We start from the raw sequence: 22,488 nt of genomic DNA on the forward strand, positions 1-22,488 counted from the left end.
GAGTCCTCCCTTTGCAGATAAAAACTGAAGTTCTGAAAGGTTGTGTGATCTCAAGGTCATTGTGCTGTCTCTTGTGTGTAGCATATCATATTGCTTGCTTTCTACTGTAAAGTGGAATGGCCTAGAAGATAAGGTTGTACTGGCCCATCATTGTACAGATGAGGAATCTGAAGTCCTGTGAAGACAGCTTTTGTTTCTTCAGAGTCACAGGGTTACTTAGTATCCATGCCAAGAGTAGACCCCAAGACTCCTGCCATCAGATCCAATTTCTGGTTCCTCTAGAACTTGTTATGTTTGTATTCTTCCAGTGGGAAGGAACTTCTTTCCTTGGAGGCACCCTATTATGCAGTGTAACAAAGTGCCAACTTGTCCCTCCATGCCTTCTGCCCGTAGACTTTCTACTGCCCTTGGAAATGTAAATAAGTACAATCCTTCGTCCAAATGTCTGATGACAGAAAAGTACGGAAGCCCATTCTTCCATGTCCTACTTCTAGGTTACCACTTGCCAGTTCCTTCTGCCTTTTTTTTTTTTTTTTTTTTTGAGATGGAGTCTCACTCTGTCGCCCAGGCTAGAGTGCAGTGGCGCGATGTCGGCTCACTGCAAGCTTGGCCTCCCAGGTTCACACCATTCTCCTGCCTCAGCCTCCCGTGTAGCTGGGACTACAGGTGCCCACCACCACGCCCGGCTAATTTTTTATATTTTTTAGTACAGACAGGGTTTCACTGTGTCAGCCAGGATGGTCTCAATTTCCTGACCTTGTGATCCGCCCACCTCGGCCTCCCAAAGTGCTGAGATTACAGGTGTGAGCCACCGCGCCAGGCCTCCTTCTGCCATTTTACAAATATGAACCTAGCACAGTAGGTCCTCAATGAGAGTCTGTTGAATTACTGAATGATTATAATGCTGTTTCTAGTTTCCTCACAGTTCTGATCCCTTTGTCCTAAATACACTCCAATTTGGCTTTATTCTCTCAAAATCAAATGTAGCAAAATCTATAGTAAGATTATGATTTATTAAACACCAAATCTATTCCTTTCCAGTCTCTTGAACTATTTCAAATACATGTTGTAAGGCTAAACATGTAACTTTATTGTGTGTTTGTGTTCTACAAGTGCAGTAGGTGGAGTCAAAAATAGTTAAGTACAACTACTGGGGAAAAATATTTCCTTTTGCCTGTGCTGGGCTTCAAGCACGCATATTAATGTTTCCTGGATAGATGTTCTCAGCTCATTCTTCTTTTTGGATGCCCCAAGAAGTCAGGCTGCCTTGATCTCACCCTACAATTTGCTCTATTCTAATTTTGGAAACTAATTTATCCAACTGAAAATGACACCTAAAAACAGAAGAAGACAGCAGGCTCAGACAGGGTAATTAATGCCACACTGCATTAAGTTTCTGCAGCTGAGATAAATATTCACACATCTCCTACTTGCCCGAATTTAGCTTCAAATACCCATCACAACAGCAGTAACGACTGCAGTCAACTCTCAATTATCCCCACTAATGAAGGGGAGCAGTGGTGTGGAAAACCCCCAGCAGCAGATAATCCCAAAGTCTGACACTGTGATGCATTATACGTTTTGGCAATAGCTGTACCTTCCTTATTATGGAATCTTAGACTGTCAGACTTAGAGGGGAGCTAAAGAATCATTGGATTCAGAAATTTCCAACCTGGCCTCTGTCAAGGTCATAACGGGGTCTTTGAGCTATTTTCAAAATTCCAAAAGCCTAAATGGAATCGCACATTAACATAACATGCTGTTGATGTTTTTGTTTGTTTGTTTGTTTTCTTTTGGCAGATTTGTCCACGTCTCTGCCCTGCTTCAAATCCTTCAGAGGCTCCCCATCACCCACAGGGTAGGTCAAAGCACCTTCGCCGGGCACACAAGGCCCATTAGTCTCTTAGTCCATTAGAGCTAATAAATACCCCTTCTAGAGCATGAATCAAAACTCTACCTTCAGGTCACGTAAATGATGTTAAAAAAATCTTTCTTTATGTCTTTCCAGGATGATCTTTCTGAAATGGATTTGGCCATGCCAGTCTCCTGCCTGAAACAGCCCTCCTGGCTCCTTGTCACTCAAAGGAAAAGGCAAACTCCTCAAGACTGCACATAATGCCCACCTTCCCAACCAGCCTCTCCTACTGCCACTCTCTCTCCTACACCCTACCTTCCAAACCCTACTTGGGGTTCACCCTCACATGCTGGAGTTTTCCCATCTCTGAGACTTCATTCAGGCAGTTCCTTCTGGCTTCGGAGGCTTCTTTGTTCCTAAAGTTCATACTTTAAGACCTAGCTGAAATATCAAGGCTTCCTGGACTCTGCAGGTGACACGAGCCACTGTGCTCCTGGATGCTTCAGAACCTGTGCAGATCTCTGTCTTCACTCCTACTATGGCATCTCCTAGCATGTTCTACACTGAGCTCCACTGGGCCTTGCATGTCAGTATCCCGAATTCTGAATGAAGCTTGGAACATGGGAGGTGCATCCACTAACAACATGAAGAATGAAGACATGTGTGAGTAAATGAACAGTTCTCTTCTTAGTGGAAGTTGGCAAATAGTTGTGAACTTTAATATGATTCTGACATATTAATATCTTTATTTTTAGATAACAGAGTAGATGGAAACCATATGGTAAAACCTAAAGCAAAATCCACCCTCTAACCTTTCTGTAAGTGAAACACCCAATTTTCTCGAAGGTGCAGTAAAAGAGCTAAAGCACAGGAGACTAAGTCATGCAGGCCTAGCTTAGTGTTCTCCTGCCAATGATCTGCTGCAAAGACCACCAGGGACACATCTGTAGTTGAACATGTTGGGTTATTCCTCAGCGCAGAGGGAGGAGCAATGAGGCATCTCTGAAAGAGGGTGTTAGAAAGAATGTATCACAAGATTTGGGCTTAAGGTAAGTAATTTTGGGGATGGTCAACAAAGTGGGGTTTTTCTCTGAATTGGATGCTGTCATAATGTGGGGGTAATTCTGTGATTATCCCAACAATACTTATCTGGAAGGCAAGAAGAACAGAGCAAGGCTGAAACCAGGCTAGAGAAATGTTTGATCAGTTTTCCAATTTTGACAATGTTCATGTTTTGCCTGTGTTCAGCCATGATGACCTGGTGGTCTTGATTTTGTCTTGACCTATCATGGTCACTAAGTGGCCTTGCCTTATGCTGATGGTATGTGAAATGTTGATGTTCAACAGGAGAATGCCAGCACCTTGCTGTGGGGGTGGGCCTGCCCCTGACTGTCAGAGGCTGCTGTTCTTTTTCTTACCATCACACATTTAGCAGCCCTAGGATTCTGTGCAGGGTACTTAACGTCTTTGGGTGCCAGTTTCCTCATCTGTAAAATGAGGCTAGAAATACCCTCTGTGAAGGAGAAAACATGTTGATTGTCTAGCACAGAGTCTGAAACATAGGAGATACTCCAAAAAACATTAGGTCCCTTATGTCTGGGAGTGTGGCTTTATCCTCCCTTTATAGACAATGGTTTTAGGCCTAATAATCACCTGTGGGTTTCTTTTCAAATGGCCTCTCCTTCATAGCACATAGGTGCAATTGCAGATGAGCTCTCAGTTATTAATAAAAGAATGGTGCTGGACCAGCCTAGGAAAATTGTGCAGAATGAATGTGGAGTTAATGCAAACAACCTGGCTGCAGGGCCCTGTGGATAACAGAAACTTCCACCGTTTGCAGACTACTCCACATGTCCTTTAACTATCTATGAATTATGTGCTCGACTACAGCAGCCAAGTGGACTCACAGAACTGGAGTAATAATGGTATATCTCTACAGAAACTTTTACAGTTTATATACGGTCTTTCCAATGTCACATAGTCTTACTTGAGCTACACACCAGGACTGTGCCTTTAGAGCTCCTGTCTTCATTTTACAGCAAAGAAACCTGGGCTCCCTGCAGTTGGGTGACCTGTGCAGTTACTCAGCCAGCACACAGCAGAGCTGGGACATACTGCTTTTTTTTTTTAATCTTTTTTAGATTTTTATTTGTGGTGAAACATAAACAACATAACCTTTGCCATTTTAACCACGTTTAAGTGTACAATTCAGCAGCATTAATTACATTCACAATGTTGTGCAACCATCAGCATCATTTCCAGAACTCTTTCATCACCCCAAACAGAAACTCTGTACCCATTAAGCAATTAACTCCCCATTCATTCCCCAAATCCCCAGCCCTAGTCTAATCTACTTTCCATCTCCACGATTTTACCTAGTCTTGTTTTTAAATCAATTTCAGTGAGGTATAATTTACATACAATGAAATGTACCCATTTTAAATGTACAGTTTAATGAACTTGACAAATATATACACCCATGTCAGCTATAGAGCATTTCTTCACCCTAAAGACTTCTCTTGTGCCTTCTCAGTCAACTCCCTATCTCAGTGCCAGCTCTGATCTGCTTTTGATTGCTATAGACTAGGTTTGTTTTTTCTAGAGTTTCATGTAAACATACTCAGGTCTTTTTAAGCCTACTATCCTCTCCACTACCACGTGTTCCCTCTCATAGAAGGTTGAAGCTGGAAGGGCCCTCACACCTACAGCTCCTTTTCCGCATGAAGAAACTGAAGCCCCAGACACAAGGGGTACTTTCCCAAAGCTATACAGGAGACAGTGGAGAGCCAGGGAGCAGCTCAGGGTTCAGACTCCCATTTCTGTGCTGGTTTCCTTGCTTTCTTCTCCCAGCCCCAGCTCTTTGGCATGAAGTATAAGGGCAAATGGTTTCCTATGTCACATTATAACAAGACGCTCTTGGAAGCTACCTAAATTGTGCTGATTACTTTCTGCCCATTTAATATTTCTTGTATTTGTTTTTGGAAAGATTGACTACCTTTGACAAAAGTATGTCAAAAGCAATACATCTTACTAGTGGAGCGAAGACACTGCATGCTGACAAAGGTGATCTCAGATGTGAGGTCGATGGTGCGCCATGCAATCAGCTTGCTGAGTGAGCCTACTTATGCCCCATCCCGGGGGCCTAGGGTAAGAAAAGTGCCAAGCGAAGCTGAGGATCAGACTAAAGCTGGAAGGTGAGTCAAAGCTTGAGTCCCTCAGCATTACCCTGCCCAGGCAGCAACTTCAGCCTCATGGTCTTTTAGCCCTAAAACTTAGGACTAGCTCAGTGGGAGTTTTACATTCCTTGGCTTGACAAATGAAAAAGGTATTGGTAGTCAGAGGGGAAAAAGGCTAAAATAACTCAAAGTTCTATCTGAATCCATGTGGAGGGTCAGGAAAAATGCATGGGTTTGGGGAGCCAGAAAGACCCCAGAAATCCTCCTAACTTCCGATATGAACTTAGGCGAGCATCTCACCTATCTGCACCCCAGTTCCTTCATTTGTAAAGTGGAGGGAATAACATCTACCTCATGGGACTGTGACAAGTTACAAGTGAGCTCGTATAACATGAAGTATCTTAAATGCTGGCAGCCTTCTTTTTCTTTATATTCAAACAAAAGGAAAAACAAAGCTTTCTGGCCACTTTGAGTCTGAAAGTCTGGCTGTTAGGGTAGAAAAGTCTTCTAAACACTGAATGGATTTGATGATAATCCCTTAGGGATTGACACTGCCGAATGCCCTTGTTCCTGGGGTCTTGGGTGCTGAAATCCGCTTGGTGCATACAGAGATGCACCACCTGAGTTTCGAGGCAACTGTGCATGTTCTGAAGAACATTCTATTTCCCCGTCAATAATAACAACAATGATGGGCATCAATGATCTGTTTTGCACATGTACATCATCTTTTTTGGCCTTGTTATATAACAGATGATGACGCTGAAATTGCTGACACTAATTATCTACCATAAGCAGGAAGGCCTTTTCTGAGTAAGCTCCTGGTTACTGGGAGCAGGTTGCATCTAGGACTGATAGTCTCTGGGGATCCTAATGAAGTCAGCGTATTTTAGGGATTTCTGTCTTCTCCTTTGTTAGATGGGAATAGAGACAGCCTGAGGGAGAGATGCTGCTGGAAGATCTTATTTGGGGATTGGTTCCATGCTGTAGCTGGGTGACTTTGGGCAAGTTAGATGGTCTTAAAATGTCAGAGCTGGAAGGACCTGTGGGAACTGTTTTACAGAAAAGGAAACCAAAGGTCAGAAATGAAACCATCTGCCTCATATCACACAGCTAAATTGATGTGATGCTATTAAAACCCAGGTGTCCTTCCTGATTCTGTTTGAGTGTGTTTGAATTACTTAATCTGGGTCTAGATTCAAATCCTGGTGCTATTACATGTGAATCTCAGGATTTTAGCAAGTTGTTAAACTCTCTACCTTGTCTGCAATATTTGTGAAATGGGAATAATAAAAATACCTGAGTGTTCCTGTGAGGATTAAATTAGGTGATGCTAGTAATTTTAAAATATATCTTATTATTATTAGTAAGTGAAAGGTATCATGATTACCTTCTGCAGTGGTTCTAGAAACAGTGAGCCTGATCTAATTCTGTTAGCCAATTCTGGTAGCTGCCTGTGTTTGTAAATAAAGTCTTATTAGAACACAGCTACATTCATTCATTTATGTATCATCTTTTGCTGCTTTCCTGTGACAATGGTAGAGTAGCTGTAATAGAGACAGTATGGCCCACAAGGCACACATATTTACAGAGAGTTTGGCAACTTCTGGTTAGATGATCTGTGTATTCTACTTGCACTCACTACTCCAATGGCTGAAACCCATATGGAAATCTCCATGTCTAGCCTTGATTTCTCTTTTGATCTCCAGAGGTTGTATCCAGCAGCCTACTGGCATCTCTACTTGGAAGTCTCATGGGCACCTTGAGTTCAGTTGGTCCCAAAGTAAACTTGTCTTCTTTCTGCTCAAACATGCTGCTTGTGTTCCTTAGCACAGTGACTGGCACCATGTAGATCCCCATGCCAGGAACCTGGGTGTCATCCTACCTTATGTCCTCTTCCTCACCTCCCATGTCTCTTCGGTCTTAACCTTCTGTTGATTTCAGCTTTTAAACATCTCTTGGCACTATGCCTGAGGTCTTGGCTGACACTGCCCTTAGCTAGACCCTGGTCATCTTCTGCCTGATCCAGTGCCATCACTTTCTAGCTACAGGACCTCGACAGGGAGTCTGTTCATAAAGGTCCAAGGAAGTGGGACACTGTGCCCTCCAAAAACTTAGGTTGGACTTGTCATTGAGTTCTGTGTCCATAAAATAGGTCATTTTCTGTTGTTTTGTGGTTCTTTATTTTAAGGGTCTGTTGTTTGGTTGTATTTAAAAAGAGAATGGTAATAATAATCCCAAATACATGTACTTTACTTTCAAAGCTTATAAAACACTTTCATACTTATGATATTATTTGATTCTTGGACAGCTTGGGGAGAGAGCTATTGCAATTATCTGTATTTATCCATATGAAAGGATGTATGCTTACCTAAGGTGACCTGCTTTGGAAGTAGAAATCAGACCTAAGGCCCCTGACTCTGTGTTTTGTTTCTTCCTTTCTTTCCTTTTCTTCCCTTCCCTCCCTACCTCCTTTTTTTTCTCTCTCTCTCTTCCTCTCTCACTCTCTTAAGATTCGTCTTCCCAAAGCATCTGAGGTTTCAGCTTTCTTTTCCCTTGAACACTAGAAATCCATCAGGTAATATGTTATATGTCTTGCATTCCCACCACGAAGATCAGTATTAAAAAATGACAGCAACTTATTATTTATGGCAATATCTATTGTTACTAAGGGAGGCAGACCAAACAATTCCCCATTGTTACAGATGCTACTCTGACTTGACAGCTGGGAAAGTCTGATAGGCAGTTTATTTACTTAGCCATTTAACCAAATAAATGTTTTCATTTTTCTTTCATCTCCTCAAAAGCTAACATTTCGTCCTCAAAATTGCTCCAGCAACACATCAGTGAAGTATAAATTACCTGCCATTCCCATACCAGTCATTATAATATTATTTTGGTTCTTTTTTGCCCTTGTTGACCCAGTCTTTCAAAGACACGTGATTCTCCCAGATGGGAGGGTAGGGGGAAAAAAGTGAAGTAATTGAAGATACTTTCCTTTATTGCTAAAACAGCACTGCTGTTTGAGATTGGCCCTGAAGCTTCCACCTGTGGGGATTGAGTCCGTCTGTTTCCTCTTACTATGGTGTGATATGGCTTTAGCTTATCAACAGATGTCATCCCTACTTACTCAGAACTGTGCAGGTATTTCTAATAAAAAACAGCTGGTGATAATGGTTGCAAGGGTGATAAGAGAGACAGGACTCTTGCTTTCCAACCATATGAAAGCAGAGGGGAAAAAATAAAGCCATGGACATAACTTTCCCTGCATGGTCTCTCTTCTCCAAATGTTTGGAAAGGCACTAAGAAATTGCAGTCAGTAAATTTTCAGTTGGGTGGATGGGGGAATGGGATGGAGATGGAAAGATTAAATGTGTCTTGTGCTGCTGTCGATGGAGGGACCCAGAATGGCTCTCCCAGACGTCCCCCATGTGTGTCATAGTGGCTATGTCTGCAAAGCTGGCATCTGCCCCTTGGCACTTGAATCTTGATAACTGTGAAGTGGCCAGGCTAAGCTTTCAAAGGGAGAAAATTACTTCACCGAAGATTACAGTCCAGCCCTCCTCTGGAGCTGGGAGGTACTTATTTTGACTTGCATGTGATTCTAAGACAGCCCATTTTTTGGCAGTGAGCTGTGTGAGGCCCAAACCAGGGCCATTCTGATTATGGGGTGGGGCAAGCCAGAGAGCTAAGCAGCAGGCTTTTTTCTTTTTTTCCCTTCCAAAGCTGTTGTGACACATATTGAAAATTAATTATCTGAAGACAAAGTACAAAGCAAAACCTCCCAACCAATGGTCTTATACATGAAAGCTAAATGTATAAAATCCAAGAGAGTGGGGAGCGTGCATTAATTGGATATATGTGATGATGATAATGATGATGATAATGATGATGGTGATGGTGATGATGAGGGTAGCTAGCATCTATTAGGTGCTTTCTATGTGCTATACACAGTGCTAAGAGCTTCACATATATCACTTTATTTAGTTCACATAATAACCCTATGAGGTGGACACTATTTTTATCCTTATTTTTCAAATGAAGAAAATAAGATAGAGAATAATTATAAAATCACAGCAGTGTCACATAGCCAGGAAGTGGTGGAGCCAGATGCTGAACTCAAACAATGTTGTTCCAGAACCTAGATATTTTTTTTAAGCTGAATTTTAAGCTGATTACTCAGTGTCTGTCTCTGCGCTAGATACTCAACATAAACTATCTCAGTTACCATTATGGAGAATATAAGCCCCTTCTAGCAGATGAAGAAACCAAGACTCAAATTTTGGTTCTTGCCCAAGATTTCCCACTATTAAGTAGCTGAGTTAGGATTTAAACTCAAGTCCAAATCCTGAGTTCTTCCCACACTACTATGCTATGTCCATTTACAGCTCAGCTGTGGCTTGGGGTACTGGACAGAGCATTAAATGTGGAACAGACCAAAGCCCCATGAAACAGTTTGGCTTGTAGGATTGTCTCAAGCTGAACAGGTTCATAAAGATGAGGGTTTAATACATTGATCTGCAAATGGTGTAAGTCATCTTTGTTTTCTAGAAGAACTTCAATTTTAGGATGATGTTTGCTGTTATCCTGATGAATGGCTCTTGTCACCTCTAGTTTATTCACCAAATTTTTCAAGGCAAGGTTGAGCACGTGAAATACAACTTAGGCGGGGGGTAAAATACCTCGTGGGGAATCATCCCAAGGAGTCTGCCTATAGTCCCCAACTTTTCTTTTTCCTGAAACATTGACTTTGCTTTCAATATATCAACTCCCGAAGTAGCTTTGCAAGAGTGAACTTCTAAGTGAATCGTAGGTGGTTTTGCATGGCATGACATATTATTATGTGCTATTGCACTGATACAAAATGTGGCAACCTACACAGTGTGTTAGGTTCTTTAATAAAAATACCTGTTAACAAAATACACTTTCAAAATACCATATTAGCTTTCAGTAACTGTCTAACTTACGTGTGGGCTAAGACTAATTCTGAGGTAGCCTCAGAATCCATTTATGAGGTAGCCTCCGAATCCATTTATGAGTGGAGAAAACTGTTTACCATTTTAATGGTTTTGACCATGCTGTTCAGAACTTAAAAAAGGAGCCTTTTGGGAATGGCCTTGCAGTCCTGTGTGTTTATAGAAAACTAAGAAGGTATCTGAAAATTGAACACGTTTGTCAAGAAGTGACCTTAGAAATCATGTCTGGGTAACAAGGTGTACTTCTGTCTCCTAAGAAGGTTTGCTTCATCAGCTCCTCTTTCTTTCGATCAAATCAGATGTATTGAAATTCAAGTGCCAAAAGCCACTTCTAGTAAATGTAAGTACATCTCTCTCAAAGTAGCTGCTGATGGAATCTGAAGTGATTTGGTGGCAATCCACATGCTGCAGCACAGGTGCAAACAGCACAGCCTCAGAAGTGAGTGCTACACATCTCTGGGCTTTGAATTTCACATCAGAAAGGATGCAGGGTGCAGGGTCCTTTCTGGCTAGACGAAAAGGGCTTCCTCTGATCTTACATCTCGATCAATCTTATTTCAAGCACTGCTTGTTTTTGCTTCTTAGTCTGGCTTCTCTGTGTGTTTGATTGGTGACCTCTTTAGATCTGCAGACTGTAGGCAAATGCAGTGACATTTTGCTTAAAAGATTAAAGCATCTGGACCATGGCTCACTGAGAAATTATCAGGGTGGGCAGAATGTGTCCATCTCAAAATGTTGATGCTTCCAGAAACTAAATGCATGCTAAGTAGCATGGACCATGCCTCATTCTATCACCACCAACCACGCAGAACATATTATTAATAAAATAATATGATCAGTTCCCACTTCTCACCCCTACCCCTACCTCCCAGGATATGTCAAAGGTCATGCATCCATGAGAAAAGGCAAAGTAGAACGTAGACACCAGGCAAAGGGACATGGTGCAGACACTGGTGATATAGCTCAGGCAAGAAGAAATAGTGCAAACATCAGGAATACAGTTCAGGGAAGGAGCGATGGTGCAAACATCAGCAATACAGCTCAGGCAAGGAGACATGGTGCAAACATTGAGGATGTGGCTTCAGAAGTGAAGAACAACCAAAAGGGAAAGCAGATAGCTTAAGGGTAAAGGAGATAAAAAGGACAGATACCTACCCAGACCTGCGCTATCTAGCTACCGGCCTGTGGACTTATATTATCACCACTGGGCTCCCCACTGGGCTCACCAAATGGATCACTGTTGGATGAGGCCTGTGATCCATCAGGCTAGAACACAAGAAGATAATACTTTTTTTTTTCTCTCTTTTCAAGCATTGAAAATATAAGACACCTGGATATACTTTCATGCAGCACAATCAGTTATTGTAAAGGAGGGTGCAACGGCATTTAGAGGATGCTACACCACAAATGTGGACTTGTAGTAACAATTTAATAAAAAGGCAGTCCTTTTCAGCTGACTCATTTGAACACAAAAGAAAGCCCCTTTAGCAACCCCTTGAGAACTTATGAGATTGAGCCAGCATTCTTTTCTATGTAGGCTTCCTCATGCATTATCCATTTCAGTTACAGAGGTCTTAATTTTAAGGAAAAACACAAACAAATAACAAACTGGTCACTTACAGCTTCTTGCTCTTCGCTTTTGCTGGGACTTTCAAAGCCCTCTTCAAAGATGTCATCTGTGGTAGGATCACTGGCATGGGATGCAGATGATTTGGATGGAGAGCTCTGTCTAGGGGCTGGGGTTGGAGCTACACAGAGACCACAGAAAAAGAGACATCTTAAGTGCCTGGCTGCCATGAATGTATCCCAAAGAAACCTCAGGAATCTGCTTATATTGAAGTCAAATCTTAGGATTCCTCTTCCTATTTCCAGTGGAATCAGTTGAATATTTGAATTCTCTCTCTGTACGTATTGATCTTTCCTCTCACACATCTGACTTCAGGAAGGAGCTCGTCCACACTGATAGGTAAGGCAGTGGTTCTCAAAGGATGGTCCTTGGACAAGCAGCAGCAGTAGCATCTGGGAATTTGTTAGAAATGAAATTTTCTGACCCTACCCCAGATCTACTGAATCACAGACTCTGTGTTTGAACAACCTGCTACAGGTTATTCTGATGCATGATCAAGCTGAGAACTACTGGGCTATGGTTTGCTTTCTTCTTTCTGTGTTTCATCAGAGGGCACGTTATTGAGCGCCTTTCATGTGTCAAACACTGTTAGAAACTTTACAGACAATATCTCTAATCCTCATAAAACATCTTTGAGGTAGAGGTTATCCTAATTTGACAGGTAAGGAAAGTGAAGTTTGCTAATTTGCTCATGGCAACTGGTAGAACCAGATTCTGAATCCTGGCACATAGGAGGTATTCAATAAACACATGTTGAATAAAGAGAAAGTGTCTCAGTGATCTGGGAAAATGGATGTAGCTGATGGCAACTTCACAGCTGGTACTTGATTCTATAAGGACAAAGGATACGCATTTTCTGGGCTGACCCACCCACATCTCCTCTCATTTGTTTTAGAGGTTTAGAACAAATATGCCATTTGATACCACTCTTCTTTTAATAAATTCTAATTTGTCACTGAAAATACTGGTTACTGGCTAAGACCCAAGTGAGAGGGTGGCATGACTTCATTTAGCAGCTGAATTTTCCTAATGTTATAGAACTTAGAAATCAGACAGTGAATGATTGTAAAACTTAGTGCATACTTTTTACTCTGATGAATCTATATATAGAAAGATGATGCTATTTCCTAACTTATTATTTATAATGTGCCAATGAGTTGGACACTGTGCTAGGCACTTCCCATTCATTATACACCTTAATATAAATACCTGCAAGTTGTTATCATAACTTTTTTGTTTCCCAGATGGAGAAATTGCAGCTCAGGGAGGTGAGGTGTCTTGCGAAGGGTTAACACAGCTATGAAATAGCAGCACTGGCATTTAACAGAGCTCTGTCTGACACTATCCAGTCCAACTGTGCTTTTCTGTTTCTATTTGAGGTTCACTTTTGATCCAACCAATCCTCTTCCCAAAACATTCTTAAGGGGATACTGATGGGTCAGAGGATATAAAGACTGGTTCTAATTTTGTTCAAAATAAAACAGCAAGTTTTTGGAAAAAAATTTGCAATGAAATCTGTTTTGTTTCAGGAGATGACTATGGAACAAACTGTATTGAAAGTGGGTTTAAAGCTATATGCAAACACCCTGAAGGGTAGTAGATGTTTAATAAATATTAGCTTAATTAGATCCTGAATTGTATTTGAAGTGGATTTTTGCTTACTAAAGGTTGAGAACACAAGCTGAGTTGCCAGTTCTGGCAGGTATACTGCTCAGACTTACCTAATGAAATCAATGGAAAGCATAAGCAGGAGTTTATTTATGCAGGTGTCTTAATCTTTAGAAGGCTTTATAGGATGCTGCTAATACTCTAAAGCAGTGGTTCTCAGTCTGGGGCAATTTCATCCCTGGGGTACATTTGGCAATGCTTGGAGTCATTTTTCTCGACACTAGAGGAAGGGGATATACGTTTCTCTCATAGAGTGATTAGAGGCCAGCGTTGCTGCTAAACATCCTACAATGGGACAGCCTCTGAAACAAAGAATTATCTGGCCCAACATGTCCATAGTGCCGAGGTTGCCAACGATGCTCTAAAACATAACAGTAGCTAAGTCATCTCCATTTTGTTTATTTCATTCTCTATAACCTTTCCCAAATGCCTCTCATGTCCCAGGCACTAAGCTAGCATTATGAGAAGTGTAGGAATGATGGAGCCAGTTCCTGCCCTCAAAGAACTTAAACTCTCCTCTTTCATTTGTAGCTGGCACACAAGTCCATTGAAAGAGAGATGTTTGTTTTTAAAAAGATGCTTGCTTATTTATGCATGGCTGTCATTTCTTTAACATTTCATTTTTTATTCATTATTCCTCATTGAAACCCTGTGAGTCTGCATAAATAGAGATGCTGCCACTATGTAGATCATATGGCCTGAGTGCAAGTGGGTTGTTTATACACGTTAAGGGCATTCATTTTCAGAATAGCATTCTGAACCTGGCTGAAATGGCACAATCTAATTGTATTAACATTAGGGGTGTTTTTTTTTGACAGTTCACAGTATTGGCCATGCAGTGATCCATATCACCTGTGACAGTAATGAAACCGCCAAACTCACTGCAGCATGAGCCTTTTCTTTCCTCTTATCAGGTGTCAAGGCACAGGCTGAGTCATCAGAACACCTTCCCTGAATTGTGTCAAACAAGTGTACATGTGCTCAAGTGTATCTGGATTCTGATTTGGCTGCACAGTCACTGTTTTCCAGATGTTTGCAGAAGAAATATGAGCTGGAGGAGACTCACTGAAAGCTGGAACTAGAAGGATGCACACTGCTCATCCAAGCCAATTCACTTATTTTACCAATGATAAAACTGAGTCTCAGAGAAGTCATACGCTTGCCCAAAGACACAGCTTGTGGTGGAGGAGTCAACACCAGAACTCTGGTCCAGGACTGCAAAAAAACACTTAACATGTGCTAATAATGAGGATAAAAGATACTTCAAATTCTGGGAGTTCTATAATGTTTGAGCACATATACCATTGAATCCTTTTAATAACCCATCGCTTACACAGATGAGGAAACCAAGGCTCATAGAAATAAAGTGCTTTGCCAAAAGGCACAAAACTGGTCAGTAATAAATCTGATCTCCAGGTTCCCAGTCCAGAACTTTCTGCAGCACTATCTTTTTGTTCCCTTTAACTACCAGAAGCTTTAACCCAAAATGAGGCTTCAACTATAAAAGCTATTTAAGACCTTATGGCTGCGTATCTCTGCCCTAAGTTTTCTCTTGATCCTTATTTTATATTCTAATGTTTAAAACTTGTTCCCCAAATTTTTAAAGTTTGCATTCATTTTATTTCAATAAGCCACGCCAAAATCTGTGTGTCATAAGCTATCTATACGTAAATAAATGAACGAATGAATGAGCAAACAAACAAAATCTTAAGAGGCAGAGTAACATGGTGGAAAAATACCAGGCTTACATTCAATTCAATACCACTTTGTCTATTGTCTTCATCTTTGAGCCTCACTTTCATTATCTGTCAAACAGGTCTAACAAAATTTATCATTAAGCATTATTATAAGTCTAAAAATAAACATGGAACATATGAAGAAGGTTTGTATGTTATCAGTGGTATCTAAATTGGCAGCTCATAGTAGTATTACTAGTAATAATAATATAAACAAAGAAGCCTGATTAATGCAAGTGAGATGAGTTATTTGACTCCAGAAACCCCGCCTCCAGACATGAGTTACGGCTCTCATTGGGTTTTATGTCTTAAGTGAGGGGCACTCACGTGAGTTGGTCGATGGTGTGGTAGAAGTCACAGGGGTCAAATTCAACTGGGAGATGTCAAAGTCATCACAGTCGTCTGTATCCTGTGCCACCCCGACTTTGTTGAAGTAACTGGAGAAGGCCTCTGAGGTACAGGTGAGGGAGGGCTGGTCGGGTTTGCGGGAGGGCACGGGCGGAGGCTGGGCCATCTGGAAATCCTTAAACGTTTCTTTGCCCATTTTCTGCCTGGGCTTGTCGGTCTGTGGACTTGACCTGGTGGAGTCACTCGTGCCTGGGACGGTGGCAAGGGGGGTGAGGGGACCTTGGAACATGGCAGCTGGCAAAGGCATAACAGTTTGTGTGGGCATGAAGGCGGCTGGCGGAAACTGCCCGGCCACAGTTGGCCAGGGCTGCTGAGTGGCAGGAAAGAGACCCGGCTGGCCCCATGCGATGGGCTGAGCCCCCGGCATCACCTGAGCGACTGGTGGCTGGGCACCCATGACCATCTGCTGTTGGACGAGGGGCTGCTGACCCCAGAAGGACGGGAGGACAGCGCCCATTGCAACGTAACCTGGGAGAATGAAAAAGGAGAGTCAGGTGTTTCCCTGGTGTCCTGGGAAAGAAGGATGCATGGACTCAGGTAATTGACAGAAATGTATCAAGCACCAACTAAGTGCCAGACTGTGTGCCAGGGACTGGGGATGCCAAGATGAACAAGACAAAGTCCTTGCTGTCATAGAGCCTATATCCTAGAGAAGTGGTCAGGGAAATCCTCTCTGAGGAGATGATCTGTAAGCAAAAACTAGAATGCTAGTAATCACATTTCTGTAGTTGCTAAAAGTTTCTAAAGTCTCATAGCCTCAGAAGCTGTGTGTCTCAGGGACAGGGCAGAAGGATGGAAGGCAGGCCTCCTGGGTTTTCTCCTTGCCTCCTCTTCCTGCTGCACTTAGGACCCTCTCAATTGCATAAGCTCTCTAAGAGTCTGACTCTTTGTGGTAAAACCAGGTTATAATACCTTCCTTCACAGGACTTAGGCAGTGTGCAGAGTGAGTAAGAATCTGAATGTTGGAGTTTTAGAGACCTAGGTTAAAATTCAAATGGCCACTTCTTATCTATGTAATTTGGGGAGCAGTTCTTAAATCTGTCTAGGGCTCCATGACTTTATTTGTAAAATGGGTATAAACACCTTCTATCTCACTGGGTTGATTTGAAGATTAATTGATAGTACATATTTAATATGTGGAGTATTGTACCTGACACAGGATCAACATTCAGTAAATGTTAGTTAGTAGTATGGTTTGGATTAGATAGAGGCTAGAAAGTTACTTATTACGTTGCTTAATATACAAGAGCCATGTAATAAATGGTAGCGAGAGGTATTATGCATGATTTCTGTATTATTATTCTTATTCCAATTTTAGAGAATAAAAAAAAAATAGGGCCAGATGTGGTGGCTTATGCTTGTAATCCTAGCACTTTGGGAGGTCCAGGTGGGAGGATTGCTTGAGGCTTGGAGTTTGAGACCAGCTTTAGCAACATAACAAGACCTCTTCTCTACCAAAAATTTTAAAAAATTAGTCAGGAATGGTGGCACATGCTCAGAGTTCCATAGTCTCGGCACTCAGGAGGCTGAGGCGGGAGGATCACTTGAGCCCAAGAGTTTGAAGCAGCACTGAGCTATGATCACCCTACTGCACTTCAGCCTGGGTAATAGAGTGAGACACTTGTCTCTAAAAAAAAAAAAAGAAAGAAAGTTATTGTCCACTCAGGGGCACCTCATGCATCAGTACAGGTTACACACTGCAAAACCCCACATCCTGTACTCACACGTATTACCATGATAATTGTTCACTGTATTATTCTTTTTAGGTAAGACATATACATTTCAACAGGAGCACAAGCAACACTTGTTATAATAATAATAGTAACATAGTAACAGCAACAAGCTCCACTTATTAAATGCCTACAACACGCCACGTACACTAGTAGGTGTTTTATGTCTTCACGAAATCCCGGCAGGGTAGGTATTATTATCTGTATTTTAGGGATGAAGAAATTGGTGCTCAAGGAAAAGCAACTTGCTCAGGGTCATACAGGTTGTATGAAGTAGGAGCAGGGTCAAACTGAGGTTGTCTGTCCCCCCAAAGCCAGGGTTCCTTCCTTTGTGCCACACACTGCCTCACCCAGATGGCCAAGACCAATTTCTGATCTTTGCAGTTAATAGACCTCCTTGCCTTCTATTTGATTGTATTAGAATACTGCAGGCCTGCAGGAAACTCCCATGTGCTTCCAGGGGTCCCCACCCTTCTCAGGGGACACAATGGCCACCTCTATGTGCAGTTGAGCCTGAGAGACAAGTTCTCAGGCTGGGCAGAGCAGAGAACAGAGAAGCTAGCTTTGCCTGGCCTCTCAAAACTAGCCTTTCCATGGCTGTCAGTAGGAATGTACCGAGGCAGTGTACCAGGAAAAAAAGAGGAATGGATGCAGAGTATCCTAGCAACTTCCAAAGGGACAATGGGTGGGCGTTACGGCATTGATGACATTATGAGTCATCTCACTGACTCTTGTGAGCCCAGAGAGATCCAATGCAGGGTGCCTCACTCCATGCTCAAGTCACAGATGTACCCGCCTTCATCTGACTGATACAGGCTAGAGCCAATATTCAAGGCCTGGTCATTTTCCTCGCAAGGTGCCCATTTCCTCTCATGCCGTGCTTCCCTAACAGGAGGCTCCAGAGAGGCACCAACAGGACACCTGGGCTTCTTGCTGATTAATCTCGCAGTGTTAAACACTTCTGCGGAATAAAACAATGATGTCAACAAACAAAATGGAGAATATCTTGTAAGACCACTTTGTCCAACTGCACTGAAACAAGAGGGGTGAAGAGGCCCTGGAGCTGAAATTTCAAACGTGAAGCTTGCTTAGCTTGCCTCGCCCATGGCATAATAATGTAGTGGCTTAAATCTACCAACAGATGAAGAATCCGGCAACTCTGTCTTGTTTTCTGGTTTACTTTGATATGGCCCAGTGGTTCTCAGTGGGAGTGCTACTGCCCCCTAGGGGTGGCTAGAAAATTTGTGGGGTGTGTTTCGGTTGTCACAAGAGGAGGGGGTGGCACTACTGGCATTTAGGAGGCCCAAGCATTGACAGTAGACATCCTATTATGTCTGAGACCAATGCGTACGACAAAGCATTATTCCACATCCTGTTTATGATCATTTGCACCTAGAATCGACTTTGAATTACATGGAAATTCAGTTATCTTTGCATTTGATTTTAATGCATTTAATTTTCCAGGAATTCAACAACTGTGCACAGGAGAGAAGACTGTATTTTTGGTTTGGAACACTGTCAAAAGGTGTTCACTATTTTGGAAAATGGCAGTGCCTGACATCCCTGACAGAAGCGCTTCTCATGGTGGTGTAGCCACATGACACTTCTGTATTAGCCTGGACTTACAGCTGTGGCTTTCAGTAGTGATTCTACTTACAGGTATATACATCTGACTCTTATGTCTTCTAGTGTGCTCACGCCTGAGTATTTCCTTATTTAAATACATATATTTTTATTACAAGTTCTCTTTCTTTTCTTTCTGCCTTATACTACAGTTAGAGAATTATATTCATTTTGAAAAATTGTGTAGCTAGACTACATTATCTATGAAATTCATTTCAAGGTGTGAAAGGAGGTATTGCAAATATTTGTAATAAGAAGGGGGTGCTGGGTCTGCAGGTGGAGAACTACCCACAGATTCAATCACCCAAGACCTGATGCCCATTTTGGTGAATGAGTGGATGTTTTCACTCTCTTGACATCAGCCTGTTTTTGGCTTTGCTTTTATTCCACCCTCCTTGCTGCCATGAAGGACTGTTTTTAAATGCATATATGGTACTTCATTGTCTTAAGTATAAGGCTCAGATGTCTTAGCTTGGCTATGCGTCCTTGGGGGTCAGCTCCTTCCACCTCTTCATCACTATCTTCAATCCATATCCTCACTGCACCTTGCCCTCCAGCATTTGCAAACAAAACCCAACCTGCTGTCTCTTGTCTCTGCTGGCCCATCTGCCTGGAAAGCCATCCCCCTGCTTCTGTGCTGTCTAACCCTGATTTGCTCTTGGAGACTCAGTTCACTATCACCTCTGTTGGATGGCTTCTTGCTCCTGTCAGCACCACTGGTCCTTCTCTGGGCTTCCACAGTACCCTGTGCTCACCTCTATCATGACACTTGTCACACTGCCTTGCAATTGCCTGGTTGTTCTATCTTCCCTGATGAGACTAGAAACCACCTGCTGGCAGGAACTCTTTATTCTCTCTCTCTTTCCACCCTGCCTAGCATGGTTTGGGACGGGAGAAAGGCCCTACATAAAGGTAAATGAGTCCTAGTCAATACATTCACTGCATTTTTCCCGGTGTCTAATTAAACCCACAATGCATAAGTGCTGTGATCTCTGATGATTCTACTGTTGGTGGCAGGTTTTTTTTCCCCTCCCATCTTTTATTTTTTTTCCACAAGGAGCTAACAGATGGGCTGTGCACACTTTTCTGGAGAGAGCTATTAGCATGTCTCTCTGGCTTCATGCCATCTGCTCCAGACCAAAGTACAATATTCAAAAGAAAAAAGGCAGCACAGGGTAATTGGGTATCATGTTTAGGAGCCTGCAGGTCCCACTCACTTTTCCTAGGGGTTCCCTGCAGGCTGGCTCTCCTCGGCCTGTGAGTTAAGGCTGTCTGGCCACATGGTCTTGTGCATGAGCGAAGGGACACGTCAGCAGCAGGACAGTGGTGGCACTGGACAGAGGGAGCCACTTGGTGGCTGCCACTGCAGCCACTTAACAGCTTGTTAACTGTTTACAATTAATGTCCAATAGTGGAGGGAGGAGGTACTAAGGAGCATCTGTTTATGCCGTGAAGTTCAGAGCAATCATAAATCTCCTTGCTGTGGAGTGAAAGGGAACACCTGCCTTGCTGCCTTACAGTTAGGTTTTTAAAAAGTGTTGAAAATTGTGATTTACAGCCAGATGCTGACACCTGGGGATGCCCCCATTATTTGAAAAAAGAAAAAAAGGCAGACTGAAATATAAGAAAAGCACTAAAAACGAAGGAACTCCTCCAACATTTATACAGAACTTGTATGACATCTCTTATCTACATTATCTCATTTGATGGATTCATTCATTCAAAAATACCTCCACTAGGTGCCAATCACTGCTTTAGTGTGTGGAGACAAAACAAAGAACAAAACAGTCACCAAAAAAAAAAATTCTTACCCTGTGCAGCTTACATTTTTGTGAAGGTGATCCTTTCCACAAGCCTCTGGGGTGAGTGTGATTGCTATCTCTTTAATTTGTATAGGAGAAATTGCAACTCCATGAGGGAAAGATTTGATGCAGCTACACACTGTATGAATAGCAGATCCAAGGCTCCTGAAGAACCATGTAGCAAACATCTGTTGAGTGCTTACTGATGGAAGCACTGCCAGGAACTGTTGTACCTATTTTACAATGTGCATTTACTCATGCAATCCTTAGAAAAACTCTATGAGGTAGAATTATGATCATCCCCATTAAAACGGGGTAAGTTCCCTGAGGCTCAGAAGATATTTATCTGAGTATGGTGCAGCTGGCTAGTGGCAGAGCTTGTGTTCATACATAGTACATTCTCCAGGCCACCCATTCTCCTGCTGTCTGCTATAAGCAGTCAAGAGGCTGAAGACCTAAACTTTATTACAGGCACTAATTTCCAGGTAAAGGAAAAAATATAGGTAGAACAGGACATATATTCATCTACTGTAGAAATCAGAGTAATCATAATAATACAGCATATTCTACACTAAATATTGATGATGTGCCAGCATTTTTCAGTGTGTAGTGATACCACTTCTACAGCTGCAGTTAATGTAGTGATTCATTTAATTCTCTTGATATTGTTGCAAAGTAAGTATTATTTTACACTCAGTTATAAAGATGAAGAAACTCTGACTCTGACAGGTCAAGTAATTTGCCCAGGAGTCTAAAGCTTAGAAATAATGGCTGAATCAGGATCCAAACCTGGCCCATTAGATTCAAAAGCCCCCAGGAGCCAGTCCATCCGTTGTATCACATACTCCAGTTCACTTCCCTGTCTCCTTATCACTGGCTGGACAATTAGTCACAAGGAGATCGGGATTCAATAGCTACAGAAATTTTTATGGCCAGTTAAGGGAGAAATAGGGCACACAGTTTAACACCAACTGAAGCCAGTTCTGTCATATTAACTAGAGTCAGAAAGCAAAAACATGCTAATTGAAATTAATTTTAGACTCGTGTTCTAAAAGTTGAAATCTTGGAGGTAATCTATCAAAATTTTAGCAGCTAAAGAAAGGAAATCTGGATATGTGGAAGTGGCTTGTCCATAGCTTCCAATGTGGCTGGTTAAGCAGCAAGACTAAAACCCAGGTCTTCCAAGTCCCTAATCTGGTACAGGTTTGAAAGAGGGCCCAGAGCAGTGCTGTGACTGACCCAGTGATATGGTTTGGCTGTGTCCCCACCCAAATCTCACCTTGAATTGTAATAATCCCCATGTGGAGATAAATGAATCATGGGGGTGGTTTTCCCCACACCGTTCTCATGGTAGTGAGTAAGTCTCATGAGATCTGATGGTTTTATAAAGGGGAGTTCCCCTGAACACAAGCCCTCTTGTCTGCCACCATGTAAGACATTCCTTTGCTCCTCCTTTTTCTTCCACCATGATTGTGAGGCCTACCCAGCCATGTGGAACAGTGAGTCCATTAAAACTCCTTCCTTTGTAAATTACCCGGTGTCAGGTATGTCTTTATCAGCAGCGTGAGAATGGACTAATACACCCAGGCAGGTCCTCAGCGTGTTTTTAATCAAATGTTAGGGCTGGAAGAGATATAAAATTGCATCTAGTCCCATCTTCTCAATTATAGAGAAGGGAATGGAGACTTGGGGGACCAAGTCATTCCTCTGCCTGGAGTACCTGGAACTCTGATGCCTACTTGAGACTTTCCTGTCCCTGCTAGTCCTGTCACATGTCACCTAGGCAAGAGCCCCTCGTGACTACAGGGGCTCCACTTACACCTGCCCTCTGCCTGCACTCAAAAGCCCCCATGCTCTGGTCTGCATTTTCTTTTGTCCCTATCACTTCTC

The 22,488-nt window shown here is 42.3% G+C and overlaps 1 protein-coding gene and 2 long non-coding RNA genes across 25 annotated transcripts in view; 2 read left to right on the forward strand and 1 right to left on the reverse strand.

The window, feature by feature from the left end:
- The window catches only part of LOC112267900 (uncharacterized), a 50,726-nt gene extending 35,549 nt beyond the window's left edge, over positions 1-15,177 (forward strand). For 5 of the 13 annotated variants that reach the window (XR_007066117.1, XR_007066120.1, XR_007066112.1 and 2 more), the window contains 2 exons: positions 1,801-1,858; positions 2,009-15,177. This is a non-coding gene — a long non-coding RNA (uncharacterized LOC112267900). The remainder of the gene's footprint in view (positions 1-1,800; positions 1,859-2,008) is intronic. The other 8 variants (XR_007066122.1, XR_007066115.1, XR_007066116.1 and 5 more) reach the window with 8 other exon arrangements.
- The window catches only part of DAB1 (DAB adaptor protein 1), a 1,551,949-nt gene that overhangs the window by 4,743 nt on the left and 1,524,718 nt on the right, over positions 1-22,488 (reverse strand). For all 8 annotated transcript variants that reach the window (NM_001379461.1, NM_021080.5, NM_001379462.1 and 5 more), the window contains 3 exons: positions 15,363-15,911; positions 11,625-11,752; positions 11,160-11,270 (listed from right to left, as the gene is read on the reverse strand). In NM_001379461.1, coding sequence (NP_001366390.1) covers positions 11,175-11,270; positions 11,625-11,752; positions 15,363-15,911 — 773 coding nt within the window. In that variant the 3' untranslated portion in view covers positions 11,160-11,174. The remainder of the gene's footprint in view (positions 1-11,159; positions 11,271-11,624; positions 11,753-15,362; positions 15,912-22,488) is intronic.
- LOC105378748 (uncharacterized) overlaps positions 17,014-22,488 on the forward strand; it is a 32,737-nt gene continuing 27,262 nt past the window's right edge. For all 4 annotated transcript variants that reach the window (XR_007066123.1, XR_007066124.1, XR_001737649.2 and 1 more), the window contains exon 1: positions 17,014-18,832. This is a non-coding gene — a long non-coding RNA (uncharacterized LOC105378748). The remainder of the gene's footprint in view (positions 18,833-22,488) is intronic.

Source organism: Homo sapiens, chromosome 1 (genome assembly GCF_000001405.40).
Source record: "Homo sapiens chromosome 1, GRCh38.p14 Primary Assembly".
NCBI lineage: Eukaryota > Metazoa > Chordata > Mammalia > Primates > Hominidae > Homo > Homo sapiens.